Raw genomic sequence first — 26099 nt, forward strand, 5'->3', positions numbered from 1 at the left:
AAAGAAATTTCTGATAAGAAAAGTGTTGGACCCTTTTCTTATCAGAAATTTCTTTCAAGGGTCTCACATTTACAGGAAAGTATAAATGGTTGATAAGCCTCATAGAAGAGGGTGCCAAGCCTTAGCAATAATAAAATATCCTCAAAGGTGAAGAATCACAGAAGAAATCAGGCACAATGGAGATTAAGTCACCAAGGAAAGGAATCAGTCACCATGAAGAATTGAGGTCACCAACAGGGCCAAGAAGAGGGAGGCTTTTCCATTGGGAATGGAGTTCAAGAGGAGAGATGGCTGGTAGACTGAGCAGGTTAACCTTCTTAGTTGACCTTCAAAGCATCAGTGGGCAATGCTCTTCCTTCTCCCAAGGCTGCCTCCCTGCCGTCTAGCTCAGGAAATGGCCAGGTGGTCTTCTCTCCTTCCCCCTTGCCTTCCTTCTTAACTGGATCCAGGTTCCTGTCACATGTCCCATCCAGCAGCCTGCCTCTTGAGGAAGCCTGGTTCCTCTTGTCCTCTAACATGGCTAATTTATCTAGGCCCTGGGTAGAGTCTTATGGACAACCTACCTTCCCCCTACCCCACAATATTTGCCACCACAATAAAGTACATGGGGAAATCACATCTAGAAAAGAACATGCCCAGAAGTAGTCTCAGAATTGCAATTTCTCATGGCTGGGCTGAACAAGGCAGCTAAAGGAACTGCTGTTCTAAGCCATAGAGTTATAAAGATATCCGGTATCTCTGAGGACCATCTCATGCTATTCCTGTATTTCATTAGCTCAGCACTAATTGACTTAACTAGAACAGACAAAGGCTCATTAAAATATCATGCTGAATGAGATGTAATTTTCAGAATAATGTTAATATCAAAAAGTGATTGGGAAACAGCTTTGCCCACCCCTGCAAGTGAGGAGATATTTTGTAAGGTAAGCACTTTTCTCAACAACGGGGTTTGGAAGCTGGGAAAAGGGAAAATAATATGGATGAAGAGGCTGTTGCTGTGAGGATAGAAATTCCATGTCAACTAAACCCAGCTCTGTCTAGTCAACCCAATATCTGAACATTTGGCTTCTCAAAACGTAATTCTACTTTAACCCTAATCCACTAATTACATCTTCTCTAAATTGACCATTCAGCAATTCTTCCATACAAATTAACCACCAGTCCACTTTTAAGAGAAACTGCCAAATTAAATTTAAAATCAGCCAGTGCTGCTTTTCCCATAGGGATCAGTCAGTTGTGAAGCATCGTGGCAACGATAACGTAGGCAGACGTAGTTAGTTTTGTGTAGTATAAAGAACATGGCCTTGAGTTAGTCCTAACTTACAGTCTTAGCTCAGTCACTGTGGTGGGTTAAATAGTGTACCCCCAAAATTAATGTCCACTCAAAACCTCAAACTGTGAACTTATTTGGATTTAGGATTTATATTTGGAGATAGTAATTAGTTGAGATGAGGTCATAGTGAATTAGGGTGGGTTATACCAGTGACTGATATTCTTATAAGAAGAGGAGAGGCTCACAGAGACACACACAGGGTAGAAGACCATGTGAAGACAAAGGCAGAGATGAGAAAGATGCAGCCATAAGCCATGAGAAGTTAGGAAGAGGCGAGAAAGGAGTCTTCCCCAGAGGCTTCAGAGGGAGCATGGCCCCACCAACACCAACACCTGTTTTGGACTTCCAGCCCCCAGAACTGTGAAAGAATAAGTTTCTGTGGTTTTAATACACCAAGTTTGTGGTCATAATTTGTTATAGCAGCCCTAGAAGAATAAGACAGTCAGTAATCAGCTGAGTAAACTTGAACGAGTTATTTATCCTCTCTGAGCGTCAGTTTCTTTGTCTAGACCAGAGTTTCGGCCTACAACTTAGGATAAATTATATAGGCATTCTATTTGCTTATCTTAAAATGGACAGTAATATTACCTAGCTTTTTAAGTAGAGAGAATTGGAATTAAAATGTGTTGAGCTCCTAATACATCATGAGCATTAATAGGAATCTCATTAAATATTTGCAATAAATTTCTCTACACTGACTTGATCTGAAAAGAAGTTGAGATGGCTTAACAAATTTTTGTCTTAAAGCATGATACACTTGGACAGAACTTGATGCTAGACTTTCCAACATCCAATGCAAAAAGGGAAACATGACATTTTATGTGACTCACATATCCACAGGGTAAATTATCACTATGTTATCCTGGCAATCCTAGGGAAGATACTAATGGGCCAAACTCCGCTCTCCCATGAACCCATTTTCCTATCAATGTTTCCAGATTTGATTTAACCTCATATGTTATTAAATTTCTCTGTGAACAAGGCTTACCATAGCAAAAATAAGGGAAGACCTAATTTCTGTTGAGAAAGAACTTCTTGTCCAGTAGTGAGGTAGGGTTTGGAGGGAAGTTATATAAGCCTACAGGAAACTGATGTAAAGCAGAATAGAATCATGTCATCAATCCTTTGAAGCTCGAAAGGATGGATAAAGGACGGCAATAGGATTCTGAAATAACACAAACCCAAGTTCTATCTCACAGCCATTTTCTCACAAAGCAATGGACACCCCAAATGTTATCTCACCTCCTACCCACAGCCCAGTGCCCAAACGGGACAGTTTAGACGGTTGGGGCTTCTTCTTTTCTGAAAAACTTACCTAAGGATTGGCGTTTCCAAGAAAAGCAAAGTCTAGGAATTGATGCAAGAAATGGTATGTTAAGTTCTAGGAATGTAATAGTGAATAAAAACAGGCAAGATCCCTGCCCTAATAGAAATTACACCAATCATAACCAAATTTGAAGGTAAAAATGTTCTCTGCTATGAGAATAGATAATAAAGATGAGTGTTCTAGTTACAGCAGTCAGGGAGTTGTCCCGTAGAAGTGGTGTTAGAGCTGAGATTCAAAGCATGAGTAAAATGTATCTAGGAGAAAAGATGGTGACACAGCTTTCCAGACAGGATGAACAGCATCTGCAAAGGCACTGAAATGAGCAGAGCTTGACTAGTAGAAAGGACTTAACAAAGGCCAAATTCAGTGCTCTGGGAAGAGCACAGAAAGTCATGGAGGGAAGAAAAAAAGCTGTCGTGTTAGATGGCAATGAAATCATGCAAAGACCTTGTAAGCCATGTTAAGCTGTGTCTGTATCTCAAGAGAAATGTGAAGCCATTTGAGAGTTTAGAAGTTTGTTCTGCAGTGTGGGTCATGGATCAGCAGCATGGGCATCATCAGGGAACATGTTAGAAAAGCCTAACCCCAGGCACAAGCCCATGCCAACCAAAACAGAATCTGTTCCCCAGGTGATTTGTATGCATATTCATGTTTGAGAAGCACTGGAAACTAGAGCATTTTTTGATGGTAGAGGAACCGCCAAATGCAGAATTCAACGCAAAACGTTTATGGTTTTTCTCGAAATCCTACTATCTGTAACAAAATGGATGAACCTGGAGGACATTTGCCAAGTGAAATAAGCCTGTCACTAAAGGGCAAATATGGCATGATTTCATTCATATGAGGTGTCTAAAAGAGTCAAATTCATAGAATCAAAACATATAATAGTGGTTTCCAGTCCCTAGAAGGAGAGAGAAATAGAGAGTTGCTAATTAGCAGTCAGAAAGTTTCAGTCAAGCAAGATGAATAAACACGAGAGATATAATGTGTAACATTGCACCTATAGTCCATAATAATGTAGTGTACATTTTAAAATTTGTTAAGAGGATAGTTAAGTATTAACTCATGTTAAGTGTTCTTACCACAATAAAAAAAATATGAAGTTCTACATGTACTACTTGTACATTTTTCTGTATCTTTCATATACCTCAATATATTTTTTCCTTTTTATTATACTTTAAGTTCTCGGATACATATGCAGAACGTGCAGGTTTGTTACATAACTATACATGTGCCATGGTTGTTTGCTGCAGCTATCAACCCTTCATCTACATTAGGTATTTCTCCTAATGTTATCCCTCTACTTGCCCCCTACCCCCTGACAGGCCCTAGTATGTGATGTTCCCCTCCCTGTGCCCACATGTTCTCATTGTTCAACTCTCACTTATGAGCAAGAACATGCAGTGTTTGGTTTTCTGTTCCTGTGTTAGTTTGCTGAGAATGATGGTTTCCAGCTTCATCCATGTCCCTGCAAAGGACATGAACTCATTATGGCTGCAAAGTATTCCATGGTGTATATGTGCCACATTTTCTTTATCCAGTCTATCATTGATGGGCATTGGGTTAGTTCCAAGTCTTTGCTATTGTGAATAGTGCTGCAATAAACATACATATGCATGTGTCTTTATAGTAGAATGATTTATAATGCTTTGGGTATATACCCAGTAATGGGATTGCTGGGTCAAATGGTATTTCTAGTTCTAGATCCTTAAGGAATCTCCGCACTGTCTTCTACAACAGTTGAACTAATTTACACTCCCACCAACAGTGTAAAAGCCTTCCTATTCTCCACATCCTCTTCAGCATCTGTTGTTTCCCGACTTTTTTTTTTTTTTTTTTTGAGATGGAGCCTCGCGCTATTGCCAGGCTGTAGTGCAGTGGCATGATCTTGGCTCACTGCAACCTCTGCTTCCCAGGTTCAAGCGATTCTCTGGCCTCAGCCTCCTGAGTAGCTGGGACTACAGGCATGTGCCACCACACCCAGCTAATTTTTGTATTTTTTGTAAACACGGGGTTTCACCATGTTGGCCAGGATGGTCTCGATCTCTTGACCTCATGATCCGCCCACCTCACCTTCCCAAAGTGCTGGGATTACAAGCATGAGCCACTGCGCCTGGCCTTTCCTGACTTTCTAATGATTGCCATTCTAACTGGTGTGAGATAGTATCTCATTGTGGTTTTGGTTTGCATTTCTCTAATGACCAGTGATGATTAGCATTTTTTCATGTTTTTTGGTTGCATAAATGTCTTCTTTTGAGAAGTGTCTGTTCATATCCTTCACCCACTTTTTGATGGGGTCATTTTTTTTTTCTTGTAAATTTGTTTAAGTTCCTTGTAGATTCTGGATATTAGCCATTTGTCAGATGGATGGATTGCAAAAATTTTCTCCCATTCTGTAGGTTGCCTGTTCACTCTGATGATAGTTTCTTTTGCTGAGCAGAAGCTCTTTAGTTGAATTAGATCCCATTTTTGAATTTTGGCTTTTATTGCAGTTGCTTTTGGTGTTTTAGTCATGAAGTCTTTGTCCATGCCTATGTCCTGAATGGCACTGCCTAGGTTTTCTTCTAGGGTTTTTATGGTTTTAGGTCTTATGTTTAAATCTTTAACCCATCTTGAGTTAATTTTTGTATAAGGTGTAAAGAAGGGGTCCAGTTTCTGTTTTCTACATATGGCTAGCCAGTTTTCCCAACACCATTTATTAAATAGGGAATCCTTTCCCCATTGCTTGTTGTTGTCAGGTTTGTCAAAGATCAGATGGCTGTAAATGTGTGGTGTTATTTCCGAGGCCTCTATTCTTTTCCATTGGTTTATATATCTGTTTTGGTACCAGTACCATGCTGTTTTTTTTACTGTATCTTTGAAGTATAATTTGAAGTCAGGCAGTGTGAGGCCTCCAGCTTTGTCCTTTTTGCGTAGGATCGTCTTGGCTATATGGACCCTTTTTTGGTTCCATATGAAATTTGAAGTAGTTTTTTTCTAATTCTGTGAAGAATGTCAATGGTAGCTTGATGGGGATAGCATTGAATCTATAAATTATTTTGGGCAGTATGGCCATTTTCACGTTATTGATTCTTCCTATCCATGAGCATGGTATGTTTTTCCATTTGTTTGTGTCCTCTCTTATTTCCTTGAGCAGTGGTTTGTAGTTCTCCTTGAAGAGGTCCCTCATATCCCTAGTAAGTTTTATTCCAAGGTATTTTATTGTCTTTGTAGCAACCTGTGAATGGGAATTCACTCATGATTTGGCTCTCTGTTTGTCTATTATTAGTGTGTAGGAATGCTTGTGATTTTTGCACATTGATTTTGTATCCGGAGACTTTGCTGAAGTTGCTTATCAGCTTAAGGAGATTTTGGGCTGAGACGATGGGATTTTCTAAATATACAATCGTGTCATCTGCAAACAGATAATTGGACTTCCTCTCTTCCTATTTAAATACCCTTTATTTCTTTCTCTTGCCTGATTGCTCTGGCCAGGACTTCCAATACTATGTTGAATAGGAGTGGTGAGAAAGGGCATCCTTTTCTTGTGCCAGTTTTCAAAGGGAATGCTTCCGTTTTTGTCCATTCAGTATGATATTGGCTGTGGGTTTGTCATAAATAGCTCTTATTATTTTGAGATACGTTCCATCAATACCTAGTTAATTGAGAGTTTTTAGCATGAAGTTTTGTTGAATTTTGTCGAAGGCCTTTTCTGCATTTATTGAGATAATCATGTGGTTTTTGTCATTGTTCCTGTTTATGTGATGGTTTACTTTTTTTGATTCACATATGTTGAACCAGCCTTGCATCTCAGGGATGAAGCCAACTTGATAGTGGTGGATAAGCTTTCTTATGTGCTGCTGGATTCAGTTTGCCAGCATTTTACTGAGGATTTTTGCATCAGTGTTCATCAGGGATATTGGCCTGAAATTTTCTTTTTTTGTTGTGTCTCTGCCAGGCTTTGGTATCAGGATGATGCCGGCCTCATAAAATGAGTTAGGGAGGATTTCCTCTTTTTCTATTGTTTGGAATAGTTTTAGAAGGAATGGTGCCAACTCCTCTTTGTACCTCTGGCAGAATTTGGCTGTGAATCTGTCTGGTCCTGGGGTTTTTTTGGTTGGTAGACTATTAATTACTACCTCAGTTTCAGCACTTGTTATTGGTGTATTCAGGGATTCAACTTCTTTCTGGTTTAGTTTTGGGAGAGTGTATGTGTCCAGGAATTATCCATTTCTTCTAGATTTTCTAGTTTATTTGTTTAGAGGTATTTATAGTATTCTCTGATGGTAGTTTGTATTTCTGTGGGATCAGTGGTGCTATCCCCTTTATCATTCTTTATTGAATCTATTTGATTCTTCTCTCTTATCTTCTTTATTAGTCTGGCTAGTGGTCTATCTGTTCTGTTAATTTTTTCAAAAAACCAGTTCCTGGATTCATTGATTTTTTGAAGGGTTTTTCATGTCTCTATCTCTTTCAGTTCAGCTCTAATTCTAGTTATTCCTTGTCTTCTGCTAGCTTTTGAATTTGCTCTTGCTTATCTAGTTCTTTCAATTGTGATGTTAGGGTGTCAATTTTAGATCTTTCCCACTTTCTCCTGTGGGCACTTAGTGCTATAAATTTCCCTCTACACACTGCTTTAGCTGTGTCTCAGAGATTCTGGTATGTTGTGTCTTTGTTCTCATTGGTTTCAAAGAACTTATTTATTTCTGCCTTAGTTTCATTATTTACCCAGTAGTCATTCAGGAGCAGGTTATTCAGTTTCTATGCAGTTGCACGTTTTGAGTGAGTTTCTTAATCCTAAGCTCTAATTTGATTGCACTGTGGTCTGAGAGACTGTTTGTTATGATATCCATTCCTTTACATTTGCTTAGGAGTGTTTAACTTCCAATTATGTGGTAAATTTTAGAATAAGTGCAATGTGGTGCTGAGAAGGATGTATGTTCTGTTGATTTGGGGTGGAGAGTTCTGTTCATGTCTATTAGTTCTGTTTTGTCCAGAACTGAGTTAAAGTCCTGAATATCATTGTTAATTTTCTGTCCCATTCATCTGTCTAATATTGACAGTGGAGTGTTAAAGTCTCCCACTATTATTGTGTGGGAGTCTAAGTCTCTTTGTAGGTCTCTAAGAACTTGCTTTATAAAACTGGGTGCTCCTGTATTGGGTGCATATATATTTAGGATAGTTAGCTCTTCTTGTTGCATTGATCCCTTTACCATTATGTAATGCCCTTCTTTGTCTTTTTTGATCTTTGTTCATTTAAAATCTATTTTGTCAGAGACTAGGATTGCAACCCCTGCTTTTTTTGTTGTTTTTGTTTTTTGTTGTTTTTTGTTGTTTTTTTGTTTTGTTTTGCTTTCCATTTGCTTCGTAAATCTTCCTCCATCCCTTTATTTTGAGCCTATGTGTGTCTTTATATGGGAGATGGGTCTCCTGAATACAGCACACCAATGAGTCTTGACTCTTTATCCAATTTGCCAGTCTGTGTCTTTATATTAGGGCATTTAGTCCATTTACATTTAAGGTTAAATATTGTTATGTGTGAATTTGATCCTGTCGTTATGATATTAGCTGGTTATTTTGCCCACTAGTTGATGCTGTTTCTTCATAGTGTCAATTATCTTTACATTTTGGTGTGTTTTTGCAATGGCTGGTACTGGCTTTTTCTTTCTATATTTAGTGCTTCCTTCAGGAGCTCTTGTAAGGCAGGCCTCATGGTAACAAAATCACTCAGCATTTGCTTGTCTGTAAAGGATTTTATTTCTCCTTCACTTACGAAGCTTAGTTTGGCTGGATATGAAATTCTGGGTTGAAAATTCTTTTCTTTAAGAACGTTGAATATTGACCCCCATCTCTTCTGGCTTGTAGGGTTTCTGCAGAGAGAGTTGCTGTTAGTCTAATGGGCTTCCCTTTGTGGGTAACCTGACCTTTCTCTCAGGCTGCCCTTAACATTTTTCCTTCATTTCAACCTTGGTGAACCTGACAATTTTGTGTCTTGGGGTTGCTCTTCTTGAGAAGTATGTTTGTGGTTTTCTCTGTATTTCCCAAATTTGAATGTTGGCCTGCCTTGCTAGATTGGGGAAGTTCTCCTGGATAATATACTGAAGTGTGTTTTTCAATTTAGTTCCATTCTCCCCTTCACTTTCAGGTGTACCAATCAAACATAGGTTTGGTCTTTTCACATAGTCCCATATTTCTTGGAGGCTTTTTTCATTCATTTTTGTTCTTTTTTCTCTAATGTTGTCTTTACACTTTATTTCATTAAGTTGATCTTCAATCTCTGATATCCTTTCTTCCACTTGATCAATTCGGCTATTGATACTTGTCTATGCTTCACGAAGCTCTTGTGGTATGTTTTTCAGCTCCCTCAGGTCATTTATATTCTTCTCTAAAGTGGTTATTCTAGTTAGCAGCTCCTGTAACCTTTTATCAAGGTTCTTAGCTGCCTTGCATTGGCTTAGAACATGCCCTGTTAGCTCAGAGGAGTTTGTTATTACCCACCTTCTGAAGCCTACTTCTGTTAATTTGTCAAACTCATTCTCCATCCAGTTTTGTTCCCTTGCTGCCAAGGAGTTGTCATCCTTTGGAGGAGAAGAGACGTTCTGGTTTTGGGAATTTTCAGCCTTCTTGTGCTGGTTTTTCCTCATCTTCATGGATTTTTCTATCTTTGGTCTTTAATGTTGGTGACCTTCAGATAGGGTTTTTGCGTGGTCGTACTTTTTGTTGATGTTGATGCTATTGCTTTCTGTTTGTTAGTTCTCCTTCTAACAGGCCCCTCTTCTGCAGGTCTGCTGGAGTTTGCTGGAGGTCCACTCCATACCCTGTTTGCCTGGGTATCACCAGCAGAGGCGGCAGAACAGCAAAGATTGCTGCCCACTCTTTCCTCTGGAAGGTTTATCCCAGAGGGGCACCCACCAGATGCTCGTCGGAGCTCTCCCGTATGAGGGGTCTGTTGACTCCTGCTGGGAGGTGTTTCTCCATCGGGAGGCATGGGGGTCAGGGACACACTTGAGGAGACAGTCTGTCCCTTAATGGTGCTCCAACACTATGCTGGGAGATCCGCTGCTCTCTTCAGAGCTGGCAGGCAGGAACGTTTAAGTCTGCTGAAGTTGCACCCACAGCTACCCCTTCCCCTAGGTGCTCTGTCCCAGGGAGATGGGAGTTTTATCTATAAGCCCCTAACTGGGACTGCTGCCTTTCTTTCAAAGATGCCCTGCCCAGAGAGGAGGAATCTACAGTGGCAGTCTGGCTACAGCAACTTTGTGGCACTGCAGATGGGCTCCGCCCAGTCCAAACTTCCCACCAGCTTTGTTTACACTGTGACCAGAAAACCACCTACTTAAGCCTCAGTAATGGTGGATGCCCCTTCATTTATGTTTTTAAGTATGTGAGTATGCATTCATGTGTTAAGAAGGGACGATGATAAATTTCAACACAGAGCCATGCCCAATAATACTACATACCACCCTATTCCATGTACACTCTTTTTGAGAGCAATAACTACATTTTCTACTATGTCAGAGCTCCTCCATGCACTTGGAACAGTATTAGGTATGTATAGAATGCTCCATATTTGTTGCATGCCCTTTGTTGACAACTCTGAGGCACTCAAACCTGGTACCTCTGTGGGGTGGCTCCCACTCTGGAGAGATATCTCTTAACAATCAGGCTCTCTTTTTACTCAACACCAGAGATAAGACATGACCTGAGAGTCTCTCCACACAGTTCTCCTGTGCATACTAATTGATCTGAATTGACACACAAATGAAATCAATTTGCCACCCCCAATTTCTTTGAACAAGACATGGAAACAAATCTCAGCAACAATCAAAACTTCTGAACCTTCTGCATTTGCTCAGGGGCCTTCTGGCTTGCAAGCCTAATTTCTGGGAAAACCTTTCCAAGAGGGAAGCAAAATCACACCGTGTTGGAGGTTGGCCAGGGGAAACAGTGATGGTTACACAGCAGGCTCCCCACCCAGAAGGGGAGGAATGGATACTAGCTCTGAGAGCTTGCTTCTTGCAGAAACACCAATATTTGAAGAAGGAATAGCAGAGACATCATTGGGCCACACAATGATTAGGATGCATGCTAAATATGGTCAGCAGTATCCCAAGTATACAGATTAGCTCTGGTGGGTTAGAAAATGCAGTTATTGCTCTCAAGCAGTGCTTCCTCCTGGGGGAAGAAATTGTTTGTTCTTTTTGAACCACCAGAGCTGCCTCTGGGTCTGCAAAGAAGGATGACTGGAAGCTGTTCAAAAAGACAACTTAACCTTCCTCCCACTGGGCAACTTCAGTTACCACAAGCTTAGACAGAGATGTATAAGCTGTCAAACACCACAAAACTAATTCTAAATCTCTGAACCAAGCAAGATTCCAAGCATAAATAGCCAGCCTCATTTTGCTTTCAAACTCTTTATAAAAGGACAGACAAATCTTTCTTTCCCCCTATTCACGCATAGAGGAGAAAGATAAAACTGGATTTGCCACCAACTGTGCCAAATCCAACATTTGGTCAATTCTTTCAAGCACAAGCATTTTTCTGGACACTCAGCTCTGGGAGTGTAATCAAATGAAATTGATTTTGCTTCTGAATGAATCAACTTTATTTTGTGGGGGTTAAGTGGACTTGGCCTAGGTCAGCTTTTAGGTTGTATCCATTGGTAGATTTAAAGGGACCACCAAGTACATCCATATGTCAGTGTCCTTGGAGTCCTAATGTAAGAGGAAAAGGCAAGAAATGCAGGACATGGCTCCATCCTCAAAACCATTGCCACATAATTAAGTGATATTTTAACATTTTATTTATCCATATACTATCAGGAGAGGCAAATATATGGCAGACTCTAATAAACAGACATAGTGAATAACATCAAACAACCAAACAGAAGGTTTTGTGTCATGAGGAAAAGCCAACAATATCAATGAGGGCTACAGGCTCAGAGGAAAGGGGAAACTTGGGATCCATGTGGAATTGAAAGAGAAAAAACAGGAAGTTGGGCTTTTGAACAAGTCACCCAACAGATATATGTGTGCCTTCATTGAGCACATTTGGAATGTCTTAGCTGATGCTGTACCCTTTACATTTACACCTACCATACTCTTCCCAAGGAGAGAGTCAGGGATAGGACAGATTGCCAAATCCTGAAAGAAACATCATCCAAATGGGTAAATACATCTTTCCAAACGTAGAAAGTCCCAAATCACTTCTCTGCAATGTTCAGAAAGATTTACTCCGGAACACAAAAAGGTAGCAACTAATTCCAGCTTTCATATCTGAGTACTATAATTTCTGTATTCCCCTGGGAGTTATTCTATCACCATTTTATTTTATTGCTATGTTTGTTTTTACGCTGGGCATGAAAACCTAAGACTTCATGACACCAGATTCCATGGTGCTGATTCACTATTTTATACCTCAGCTAGCCCCTCTGAGAAAAGTACTATTGAGATATATTCCTGTTTGAGAGAGCTATCATTTTACTAATCAACACAAAGCCCATTGCTGAAAAAAAGACATGTATTTGACTGTGTTTATTATGCATCCTTGGCATAAGTGTAAGGCTTTGTATACAATGAGGACTAAGAAAAGTGTTAGTTCATTCAGAAAGTCAGTCAAAAGCAGCTGTTGATTTCAAACAGTGAGAACAACTGAATGAGGTAGGGAATTTAAATGCATTGTTTGAAATTTCATTAATGAGGTGCATTTAATGACAGTGGGAACATGCATAAAGGAGACTTAATTATATTTAGCTCACCTTCTTGAAATGGAGGTCTAAAACCAGAATGATATGATATATATTTTAAGCAGTAGGTAAAAGGAAATATAATTTTAAAAATGATATTATGCTTAATTCTGATTGGAATACAACGGGGAAAACATATTTAGATCTAGGTTCCTCATTTTAACAAACATAAATATTCATAGGAAAGTGTCTAGGGTAGTGAAGTATTCAGAAACTGCACCACATGAAGAATGGGGAGGGCATTTACCGAATTTTAACCCTGGGAGGACGGCTTCACAAAAGTAGTATCCTTGAATGACTGAAGAACTGCTTCGTGGCTGCAAACTCCTTCTATGTTGTTCTACAATGGCAGAAACCATGAAGAAGTGAGCACGATGATAGGGTTTCCAAGCTGCTAGAACTGCCCAGTGATGGAATCAGTGTGGCAGAAGCAGAACAAGATGGGACAAGAAAGGGAAATAGTTCAAAGAGTAAGAAACTGAATGAGGAATCATATTGTAGACAAGACCCAAATCTCTACATAAAAGGAATCAAAACCAGGGGAACTTTTTTTCCCAATAGAGTTTATTTTTTCAGAACAGTTATAGGTGTACAGAAAAATTAAGACCATATACAGAGTTCTGGTATACCCCACACCCAGTTTCCCTTATTATTAACCACTTACATTTGTTACAGTTAATGAACCAACATTCATACCGTATTTTTAATAACTGAAAGTTCATAGTTACTCAGATTTGCTTAGTTTTTCCTTATGTCCTTTTGCTGTCCCAGGATCCTATCCAGGATACTACCATACACGCACATCATGTATCCTTTAGGATCCTCTTAGCTGTGAAAACTTCTCTTGATTTTCTCATTTTTGATGACTTTGACAGTTTTGAGTACTGGTCAGATATTTTGTAGGATGCCTCTCACATAGGATTTGTCTGTTATCTTTCCTCACAATTAGACTGAGACTGTGGGCTTTGGGGGGAAAACCACAGAGATAAACTGCCATTTTCATCACATTATATCAACATGGTTTCTCACTGCTGATGTTGGCCCTGATCGCCTGGCCATGGGTGTTTTCTGGGTTTCTTCACTGTAAAGTTACTGTTTCCCTCCTTCCTTTCCATGCTGTACTCTTTGAAAGGAAGTCACTATGAGAAGCCTGCAATTAAAGAGTAGAGATTTATGCTCTCTTTCTTAAGAATGGAGTAAGGAAACCATCATTCTCAGCAAACTAACACAAGAACAGAAAACCAAACACTTCATGTTTGGTTTTCACTCATAAGTGGAAGTTGAACAATGAGAACACATGGGCACAGGGAGGGGAACATCACACACTGGGGCCTGTTGCGGGGTGGGAGGCAAGGGGAGGGAGAGCATTAGGAGAAATACCTAATGTGGATCACGGGTTGATGGGTACAGCAAACCACCATGGCACATGTATGCCTATGTAACAAACCTGCACGTTCTGCACATGTACCCCAGAACTTAAAGTATAATAATAAAAAAATTGTAAAAAATGTTACCGGAAGTGAGATGCATGTTGGCTATTTTCCCTTCTGTCAGATCTTGATGAATAAAGCAATCATAATTCATCTCTAGAAAGATTATTTATACCCTGGCATTTGAAATGCTTTTTATTTAGAATAGTAGTAAAAATGGAAAAAGAAAAAGGAAATGATGATGGAATACCAGACCAAGGGAATTTCTTGGATTTTTCCGAACACTTTAACCAACTTGAATTTTTGGAAACACATGGACACCTTATTCCTACTGGTGCTCAAAGTCTTTGGGTAGGCAATTCTGAAGAAGACGAAGAGCAAGATGAAAAAAATGAAGAGTGGTATCAATTGCAAGAAAAAACAATGGAAAAAGACCCAAGCAAATTGCTTCTTTGGGCTGCTGAAAAAAATCGGCTTACTACAGTACAGAGACTACTTTCTGAAAAGGCTGCTCATGTGAACACTAGGGATGAAGATGAGTATACCCCTCTTCATCGTGCAGCCTACAGTGGACACGTAGATATTGTCTAGGAGATCATTTCACAGGGGGCAGATGCTCATGCAGTGACTGTGGATGGCTGGACGCCCCTGCACAGTGCTTGCAAGTAGAATAATATGAGTGGTTTCTTTCTTACTGCAGCATGATGCAGATATCAATGCCCAAACAAAAGGCCTCTTGGCCCCCTTGCATCTTGCTGCTGGGAACAGAGACAGCAAGGATACCCTAGAACTCCTCCTGGTGAACTGTTACATCAAGCCAGGGCTGAAAAACAACTTGGAAGAAACTGCATTTGATATTGCCAGGAGGACAAGTGTCTATCACTACCTCTTTGAAATTGTGGAAGGCTGTGCAAATTCTTCACCTCAGTCTTAACAGTTCTGGAAATTTTCTTAAGTTTCTAAGTACCAGTGCCTCCTTTGTGTGAGATGTAAAGTATTCCCATAATCAAAGTTGACATTGAACATCTTACTACAAAAATTCAGTGGTATTCATTATAATGTTCTTCCAAGTGAATTGACTGACTTTGATGTCAAAATGTATTTGAAAGTTGTTTGCATACATATTTAATGATTAAAAAAAGAAGGGAGTATCTACATGATTTACTTGGAATTCTTTTGAAAGGGTCATTTGTTTCTTCTCCATCATTTATTTAGTCATTTTCAGTATAGACTTACAGATATTTATGTTACACTTTGGGTTATAATCCAATACTGCTATATTTTGTTGTTCAAATTGTTCCAGCTTTGTCCATTGGAAATTCTTTCAGTTGGGCTCTGTGTCCCTCTGTTCCTCTGACATAATCCCATCATTGTAAGTTTCTTTTAATTTTTAAGCACTTCCTTACTTTCTGATATTACAAGATGCTTGAGGCTTGTCTTGTTTGTTTCCTGCCCCAAAACTATAATCAGCCATTTCTCCAAGGAATCCTGGTTCTTTGTAATGGTTCCTATACTTGTATTATAGACCAAGATCTGGATTCTAGGTGTGTTCATTGCTGCTGGGGTGCTGTTCTTTCTAGCCCCCCTCAGCTAACAGAACGAGGAAATACGTATGTATATACTAAATTATGAATATACATTTATCCATAAGTATTTCTGTATCTGTATTAAACTAAATATAAATTCACACTGATGTCTCCAACTGTAATGAATTACTACATGGACCATTCCATGCTTATCTATAGCTCCTTGCTTATCTGTAACCTCCCACTTTAATAGTGAGGAAACTGGCTCCCACACTTCTACTGCACATTTACTTAATTGTTCAGTTGCAGCATACATGTGTAGCAGTATCTGGATTATTAATCTGTTCCCCATAAGAAACAACTTTATCAAATAGCGTACAGTGCTTATTTGAGTCTCTTTTGACTTTAGTCTTATAGACTTTACTTCTAGACTAAAGTTACATAGGTCAGCACCTATCCTACCCCCTTCAGTGGTGTAGTTTTGTATATTTGCAATATAATCAGAATCTCTTATCACAGTCTGAATTCCTTCCTGGGATTCTTGGAGCTCCTAATTTTTTGTTTGTTTGTTTGTCTACATTAAGGTTCTCTCTTTGTGCTATAAAATTCTATAAACTTTGAAAATAATGTCATGTATCTAACATTATAGTATCGTGAAGAATAGTTGTATTATCCTAAAGATCGATTGTGCTTCACCTGTTTAACCCTCTACGCCTCCCCCAAGCCACGAATCTGTTTACTACCTTTACAGTTTGTCTTTTCAGAATGTCATATAATTTGAATCATATGGTATGTGGTCTTTTCAGACTGAATTCTTTCACTTAGCAATATGCATTTAAAGTCTATCGGTAGCCTTTTGTGGCTTGATAGCTCATCTCTTTTTAATCAGTGAATAAATATCTATTCACCTGTTGAATGACCTCTTTGTGGCTTCCAGTTTTTGTCAATTATGAATAAAGCTGCAGTAAACACTTGCTTGCAAGATTTTCTGTGGAAATAAGTCTTTAAATAGGAAGATGATGGCTGAATTATATGGTAAGACTATATTTAGCTTTGTAAAACATTGACAAACTGTTTTCCAAGATGACATTTTTTATCCCCATCAGCAATGAATGAGAACTCTCCCTGCTTTCCCAGGATTTCTTTTTGGGTTTGTTTGTTTGTTTGCCATTTAAGTAGGTATGTGTTAGTATCTCATTGGTTTAACATAAAGTTCCTTGATGACAAATAATTTTGAAATTTTTTTCGCATGGTTATTTTTTATCTGAATATCTTCTTTGATGATGTGTCTATTCAGATCTTTTGCCCATTTTTAAATTGTTTGTTTGTTTTCCCATTGTTGAGCTTCAAGTGTATTTGCATTTTGGATATAAGTCCTTTATCACATATGTGTTTTGTAAATGTTTTCTCCCAGTCTGTTGCTATATTTTCATTGGTTTTTTCTGTTGTTGTTGGTTTTTTTTGTCTTTTTTTTTGACATGGAGTCTCACTCTGTCACCCAGGCTGGAGTGCAGTGGCACGATCTCAGCTCACTTCAACCTCTGCCTCCCAGGTTCAAGCAATTCTCCTGCCTCAGCCTCTGGAGTAGCTGGGACTACAGGTGCACCACCATGCCCAGTTAATTTTTTTTTTTTTTTTTTTCAGTAGAGACAGGGTTTTACCATGTTGGCCAGGTTGGTCTTAATCTCCTGACCTTGTGATCCGCCCACCTTGGCCTCCCAAACTGCTGGGATTACAGGTGTGAGCCACCATGCCCAGCCTTCAGTCTTTTAATAGTGTGTTTCACAGAGTAAAAGATTTTAACTTTAATGAAGTACAACTTATCACATTTTTTTCTTTCATGGGTCATGCTTTTTTATTACCTCTAATCACCAAACCCAAGGTCACCTAGATTTTCTTCTGTATTTTCCTCTAGAAGCTGTATAATTTTGCAATTTATATTTAGGTCTACAGTTCATTTATTTAAGTGATCATTTCTAGATATTTTTTTGAATTTTGACATTCAATTGTTCCAGTACCATTTGTTGAAACGGCTATTTTTTCTCCATTGAATTTCTGCATTTTATATTTGCATATTCCTTCTTGTACAATGAGAATGAATAGTCTATAAATAGGCATAATGAGAACTGTGGTTCTCAGTATCAATGTAGTTACTCATTGCTCAAATCTACAATACAATGATTAGTGGTTTCAAAGTTACTACACCAATACCACTACCAAAACAAATCTCCTAAATAGAGTTCAAGGTTTCTTTGTTGTTCCTTTTGGTCTTTAAAATAAATCTCAACAATTGTATCTAGTGATATATTCAAAAGTTACTTGAACAAATCCTGGTTTTCTTTTGTATGATTTTGATAGCTATTTGATATTAACATAGGATCAATAGTCTGTGTTTAAATTTCATTTTAGCTTTCCTCCATCTTTATTAATTTATTTTGATTATTTAGCATATGTAAAACATTAATATGGAATCAAAGGAAAACTATAAAAAGATATACTCAGAAAGACTCCAATTTCTTCCATCACTCCTATACTGTATTCCTACCCATTCTTGTACATTACTAATTACTTGTTATAGTAAGGTTTATTTGACCCCTCCAAATCTCATGTTGAAATTTGATTCTCAATGTTGGTGGTGGGCTTAATGGGAAGTGTTTGGGTCATGGGAATAGATCGCTCATGAATAGATTAATGCCCTCCCTGGGTGGTGGGAGTGAGGGAGTTCTCACCCTATTAGTTTCCTCAAGAGCTGATTGTTGAAAAGAGACTGGTATCTTTCCCTGCTCTTTCTTGCTTCCTCTTTCACCATGTGATCCCTACACGTTCTGGCTCCCATTCACCTTCCACCATGGGTAGAGGGAGTCTGAGGACCTCAACAGAAGCAGATGCTGGCACCATGCTTCTTATATAGCCTGGAGAACCATGAGCCAAACAAATGTCTTTTCTTTATAAATTTCCCAGCCTAGGTATTCCTTCACAGCAGCACAAATGGACTAAGACATTAAGTAACTAATTTTATTGGTTTCTGGTTTATTCTTCCTATGTTTCTTTTTGCAAAATAACACACACACACACACACACATGTGTGCGCGCACACACATTATTTTTTTAAATTCTCTGTTTGGATTATTTAAAAGTCTTTAATTGTTTAGAGCAGTTTTGGGTTCACAGCAAAATTGAGGGAATGATACAATGATACAGAGATTTCCCACATATCCACTGCCCCTACACATGCAGCATCCCTCAGTATCAACATCCTCATCAGAGTGGTTTATTTCTTAAAATTGGTGAACACATTATAATCACTCAAGGTCTATAGTTTGCATTAGGGTCTGCTCTTGGTGTTTTACTTTCTATGGTTTTGGACAAGTGTATAATATGTACCCACCATTATAGTATCTTATGGAGTATTTTCACTGCTCTAACACTTTTACATGCTCTGCCTATTCATCCCCTCCACCTCCAACTCCTGGAAAACACTAATCTTTCTACCGTCTTCATAGTTTTGTCTTTTCCAGAATACCATGTAGTTGGAATCATAAAATATGTAACCTTTTCAGATTGGTTTCTTTAATTAATATTACACAATTAAGTTTCCTCTGTGTCTTTTCATGGCTTGATGCTTGTTTTTTTTTTTTAACACTTAATAATATTCCATTGTCTGAATGTACCATAGTTGACTTACCCATTAGCCAACTGAAGGACATCTAGGTTCTTTCTAAATTTTGGCAATTATAAATAAACCTGCTTTAAACATCCATTTGCAAGTTCTTGTATGGATGTAAGTTTTCAACTCCTTTGGGCAAACACCAAGGAAATTTATTTTAATATAAACGGTAAAATACTATATATAATTTTGTGCATTGTGCTTCTTTTCACTTAAAGATACATATTCTGGAAACTATGCCAGATCATTTCACAAATATCATCCTTATTTATTTCTACAGATGCATACCATTTCACCGTATGAAAATACCACCAGTATTTTATGACTAGACATTTTGTTCATTCTAATATTTTGCTACAATAAATAACTCTTCAGCGAATAATATTGCTCATCTGAGTGGTTTTGATATTATTGAGAATCAATCTTCAGGGTAAATCCTTACAAGTGAGATTGCTAAATCAAAGTGTTTCTCAGCCATTTTCCTCCCTTGACTTGAATGCTTAGATTCAATTTTGAAAGCAGGGCTTTTTGTTTGTTTGTTTGTTTTGCTTTGCCTTTGTATTGTGGAGGGGTGGGGAAGAATATAAGAATATTTTGTCTATGCAAAATTGTCAAGGCTGAAGCAATGGAGAACTAAACTCTTAAGTGTATTAACTTATCTCCGTATATAACAGCATCAACAGGCAGGCCCCAAACTGGAAGTAAGAGGAAATTTGACTTATTCTTATTCTGGATCTAAGGAAAAACACAAACAAAAACGAAGATATAAATACCAGCAGGGCTGCCACACTGGCAACTCCATAAGGTGCTATTCATATGTTATAAAATGTTAATCGTGTCCCCCAGGAGTTACAGAACATGACAGCTCTGGGAACTTGGACTCTAGAAGGGAAAGGCCTGTTCAGACCTTTGATATTTGGGCACTAAAGGGAAGGTGAACCTGCAGATATCAGGACCATCTGGACAACAACAACAGCAAAAGTTTGTTTGTGAGCAATTGGATGGATTTAACACAATTTAACTTTCATTTGGTGCATACTTTACACAGGGTTTTTCAGGATACAAGCAAGCACTCAGTACTTGCTACATGCCATAGTCTGTAATGTTAATTACTTCGGCTAGTATTAACAAGTTTGTAAGTTAGGTGATATTCATATCCCCATTATCAAGATGGGGAAACTGAGATTCAAGGTGTTTCGTGTATGGCAGAACAACCAAAGTGCAGTTCAGCTACTTCTGCGCTATATAGCCTCGGGTAATTTAGTTAACCTGAGACTCAGTCTCCTCAGTTGTAATAAAGGAGATTATTAGAACATTAGAACACAGTCTAGAGCAGTCTCAAAAAGCAGCATCAACATCACCTAGGAACTTTTTAGAAATGCATATTCTCAGGCCCAGCTACAGAATCAGAACTGGGCATGGTGGAGGAGGGGGTGGTTAGGACCCAGTAATTTATGTTTCCATGAGCCTTCCAGGTGGTTCCAAAGCATGCTCAATTTGGAAGACTGGTGGTGTAGAGTAAGGATGTGGATTCTGGAGTCTGAGTCCATGGTTTTGAACCCCGGCATTGTTTCATTGTTATACTTATTGGTGGTGTTACTTTGCTTACTAAATCTCTAGTTACTTAATCCATCTGAATCCAAATTCACTCATCTATAAAATGGAAATAATAGCTATATCTGCTTTGTTGAGATTGTTATACGGATTAAGTTGTGAATGTACATAAAACACGTGTCTGGCACATACTGAGTGTTGTAGTGAGTACTTTATAGCTGTTTGTTAAACAGAATAAATAAAAATGAGGTTTGTTGGGGGAATTTGGGTAATGTATGTAAATTGTGCTTGGCACATAGTAAGTGCTCAACAAATGTTAACAATTATTGTCATTAGTAGCCATAATGTTCTAATAACTTGTTCTAAAGTCCCACAGCCTCTAAGGGACAGGAGTGAGCTTGGTGCGTTTTATACCCTCAACATACATACAGTGTAATCCACATGAACACAGTCTCTGTTTTCAAGGGGAGGTGAAAATAAAAAGTCCAAACTAAGCAGATAGGCATCAGAGTAGAACTAAACCCAGGAGCCCTGGGCAGTTGCAGATATTGCTGCAAGAAACTCGATGTTGGTCTCAGAGGGATGACATCAGTATGGGGGAAACAGTGGAGGGAGGAGGCTGATGGCTGCTGGGTCAAAATTGAAAGGAACACACCATTTCAGCTGGAAACACTCAAAACATCATTATTTCAAAATTGCGGAGCAAATTTAATGGCTGGTATTGCTGTGCTAATGCGTTAATAATAATTCTGCAGTTAGAGACAAGCCTGGGCTGTTAGCGTTCAAGGCCACTTAAATTTTAAAGAGTCATTTTATGGAAAGTTTTAATTAGCTCTGGATTGTAACTAACATTCTCTTTAAAACTGTTGTGGGTGTTTGATGAGGTCTGAGTTCCAGTGGATGGAAATGAGAGCTGGATTTTACTCATTGCTCTCACAGTCTGTCCAAGGCAGTTCATGTTTTCGGGGCCTTGGCATGAGTGCTGTGTAGCCAGGCATTACGCCCACCAGAGATTTCAGGCCTGCATGTCCTGTCATTCTCTGCGCAAAAGGAAAAGGGAGCTGGGCCCTTCAAGGGGGAAGGTATTTCTGATCCTAGACTGCAACCCCTGCTTCCCTCCTGCTGCAGCTTACATCTCTTCTTCCGAAGCCCAAATGCCCTGCCTATCCCTCAGGACAGTCTCCTGAGCACAGCTACACACTTCAGCTTCATGCTGTCCCCTCCTGTCTCCCTTCTAAACTCCTACCCAGCAGGCCCAGCCGTTCATCTTTCTTCTTTGCAGCATAGTGCAGTGGGACTAACAGCAGGATTCTGGTGGACTTAGGTTTGAAAACTGGCTTTGCCACACATAAGCTATATACCTTAGGCTTATTAATTCTCGGACTCAGTTTTTTCATCTATAAAATGGGGAAAAACACCTAACAATGTTACTGTGATGATACTCAGTAGCAAGTATTCAAGGAGAATTTTATCATCATCTAATCACTTCCAACCATTCTAACATTTACTTCGGTTCTGCCTGTGTCCTTCTTAAATTATTCCATCATGTCCTCCCTTTAACCCCTGAGAAGAAGGATCTGGATGACTTCTTTGAATACTCTCCTACTGCTCCCCCCACCTAGTTCCCTGCACACGAATCCAATTTCCCTGGTGACTGGCAGACATGTGCACAGGACATGAGCACCCTTGCTCATGGTGGAATTGGAGGATTATAAAATGACTCCAATGGTGTAGCACTTAAGCAGAAAGAGATCTAGAACTCTTTCAAATTTGAGATCTAGAACTTCACGATCCATGCTGATTCTGGTGATGGAGGAAGCCCAGGTGTGAGAAATGATTTGTGCCACTTCTGCTGCTGTTTATGTTACTTGAGGGTCAGAGAGTCTCACAGGAAGTCAAGGGATTTGGAGGAAGTAAAATGGATCTCACCCACACCTACGATTGAGCAGGGGGAAGCAGAGAGCCTAATAAAGAAGTGAGTAAATGGAAATCAACCAGTAGGGAATGTTGTGGCCTCTGACAGCTGTCCTGAATGAGATCCTGAGGCTTTGGCTGGCAGAGCAGAAAGAAGGGAAAACCTGGATGAGGACAGAAAAAGACAGGCAGCATTAAAACTCACTCCTGGTTGGTATCTTTGAAGGAACTCGCTGGGCTGTGTGTGTGCAGTGACTATCCTTGAGCTTCTTCCCTGCAGTGGACCACCTCCCACCTTGTGACTGGCTGCCCATTTCTGGCCATTTCCTGTTTTAAATGCAGTCTTTTTTCCTACTGGGCTGTGAGTTCCTTGGGACCAAGAGCTCTGATTTTTTTTAGGTTTTGAATTCTGGGTGTCTACTCTGTGGCTGGGCCATAATGAGGAAACTCTAAATGGAAATATAAAAACAATATTATCTTTGGAATTAACCAGACCTCAGTTTCAATTCAGCTCCAGCATCTATCTGCTTGTCTAGTTATATTGGACAAGTCACTTTGCCTCTTTGCTCTTTCTTATCTGTAAAATGGCCAAAATGAGGCTTATCTTTCAGCTGTGAGATTTCCCTCTTGAGGCACGTGTAACATATTACCTGCTCATGAATGGCAGTTATTTGGTGCTCAATCACATTGGTGGCTCAGGTAAGGTCTTGGCCTAGAACATCCAGTGATTTCAAGGGATGACAACTAAACCCAAATGACAAAAGCTCTTCAATTTGACAGCTAATTTAGTCCAACCATATTTAGCTAATTCAATCAGTTCTCATTCACCAATGGATAAATTGTGCTCATCATAGGCTTAACCACACAACTAATATGGTTTTGAGATAGATTGATTAACAAAGCCCTAATTGAGGCTAAATAAATGAGATAAATCTGTAAGTCTGTAATATCAACCAGCAATTCAGAAACAACCAGTGGCAATATTCAGTCACCTGCTTTATTTAGCAATATTTCAACAAATACTTATCGTGTGTCTACTCTGTGCATGCCAGGGATAAGACTATATCCTGTGTCAAAGCTGGATATTAAGAGAATATTAACTCAGCTGTGGTCAGTCTGAGTAGAATATAACTAAGAAGGATGATCACTGTGGGATCAGAGTTAGAGCAGAAAGTGTAAGGCCAGAGACAGAACCAAGCTGAGAGAGGGACCAAAAGCCAAGGCCAAGAAGCCAATATTGCTGCAAGAAACTCGATGTTGGTCTCAGAGGGATGATATCAGTATGTGGGAAGCCATGTGCGGAGGAGGCTGATGGCTGCTGGGTCAGAATTTTCCCAGACACACTGGGAGTCAAGAGGATCTCAAACAGCTAACAGAAGTGAGGATAGAGCAGGAAGGGACAAACAGAGATCTAAGAGTGATCAGTCTGAGACCAGCATCTGTGTGTGGTGGGGAGGAAGGACAGGAATCAGAAGGGGAAGACTGAACACACAGGCTTCTTTTATAGGCTGGCTGCATTCTTGTATGTCTGAGTGAACTAACATAATTTATGAGGACCAAATAGATGTAGGTTTGTTAGAATCACCACAAAATGCTACATTCTTGAGCCAAATATGACCTGTTGACTTTACAGCTCTGAGCCTATCTGTCCTTCCTGCAGAGAGTGGGAAACTGCACAGACAAGCAAATATGTGCCTATTTTCTTTCATTTTAACTGTGGCCTCAGCACTACGCCCATGTTGTCTAAATTTACTGCACATACTATTTTCTGAGCAGGGCCATCTCGCATACTTGCTTTGTTCCTCAAATTGGATTTCCTGACATTGGCCCTGTTTCTTTTCCAACTTGCACAAAAATTCAATGTCCACTTTATTGTCCAATTCAAATTGGGCTTATCATCTTTTCCCTAATAAAAGTTTTTATCAGTCTTCACCCAAAACATGACACCTCTGTCCCCTCTGGCAACTATGGCTAAAAACAGAGATGCGGCATGTGATGGCTAATTTTATGTGTCAACTTGTCTGGGCTAACAGGTGCCCAGATGGCTGGCAAACATTATTTCTGGATATGTCTATGTGGGTGTTTCCAGAAAAGATGAGTGTTTGAATCAATAGACTGAGTAAAGAAGATCTGCTTTCACTGTGGGTGTGAGCATCATCCAATCCACTGAGGGCCAGCATAGAACAAAAAGGCAGAGGACGGGCATATCTGTCTTTCTGCCTGAGCTGAGCCATCCTTCTTCTTCTGCCCTTGGACATTAGCACTCCTCATTCTCAGGCCTCCAGACTCAGACCAAGCTTTACATCTTTGGCTCCTGGTTCTCAGGCCTTTGGGTTGGGCTTGGGCTGGAGCTACATCACTGGCTTTTCTGGGTCATCAGCTTGCAGATAGTAGATCATGAGACTTCTTGGCCTCTTTAATTGCATGAGCCAAAACCTTCATAATAAATCTCTTTGTATTAATATATAAATCATATAACTTTTTATTAATATACTTATATTAATATATAAATCTTATTGATTCTGTTTTTCTGGAGAAGCCTGACTAATACAGAGCAGAAGACTCTGCATCTTCCCCCGATGGTTTTAAATGAGTTTTAATCATCCCTCTCCACCCTCATGCAAACATAGCTCAGGCAAGGAGTTTGAACCTGCAATGCATTTTTTTCTCCCTTTATGTAATCCATTGATATTTTCCTATTTCAGCCCTTGGGTAGATTTGCTTCACTCATTAGCTAACAGAGCTTATTTTACCTACCTAGGATCTGTACATCTCAGGTTCTTAGTCTTGCCCAGAAGGATGTCTGCTATTTAAAGGAAATAGTGTGTTGTATGATCCCAAATTGCTGTCTTCAGTTCTGGAAACTAAGATTTGGGAAGGGCTGTCAGTTTAGGATGGTTCCAATAAAAGTTCCATGAGAAAATAAAAGTATGCTCCAATGATATGTCTTGGAATTCAGTTGGCTTCTGAATACATCCTAAATTTCTTTTGATGTGTGACTTGGTTATACTTAGTTGAGAATGTTGTTGACCGGAAATTATATTCCACTATTGAAATGCTGATGGCACTCAGGGAACTGGTGAGATCCTAGGAAAAGGTTGAGAGAAGGCCTAGAACTCTCTAATTCTTCACACTTTTTTTGAGCTTTTGTTTTCTTCTATAAAAAAGGAGTAACTTCCCTTCTTGAGTCCCATTTTAGAAATGCCACCTATAAAAGAAAGTTTTTCTAATAGCAGATCGGTTTCCCAATTAATTGTGTTTACATCAGAATCAAAGTGAAAGTAAGGGCAGAAAGAGATCATTAGTTTGCAAGGAAGTCAGTGTCTTCCTCATCCGGCTTCAGCTCTGAAGGCTATACCAGCCCCAGAAGCAGCTGACTCATAGAGGGACACTTGTATAGCATCATAGATGTTAGGTATCAGCCATTAATGCCACCTATTTAACAAGAATGAACTTGCTCTTCTAAGTCATCTGTCATGGAGAGTTTGAAGAATAGAAAAACTCACAGCAAAACATTTTCTTAGTGTGTCTACCTAGTGGATGGGCATTTGGAATCCTCTCACATTCACCTTAACCCCTTTGCTTTGAGTTATAAGGCAACTCCTTGAACAAAAGATTTGTCGG

The 26099-nt window shown here is 39.3% G+C and overlaps 1 pseudogene; it reads left to right on the forward strand.

Moving 5' to 3' along the window:
* Window positions 13898-14944, forward strand: ANKRD49P3 (ANKRD49 pseudogene 3; annotated as a pseudogene).

The sequence above is a fragment of the Homo sapiens genome, chromosome 5 (genome assembly GCF_000001405.40).
Source record: "Homo sapiens chromosome 5, GRCh38.p14 Primary Assembly".
Lineage (NCBI taxonomy): Eukaryota > Metazoa > Chordata > Mammalia > Primates > Hominidae > Homo > Homo sapiens.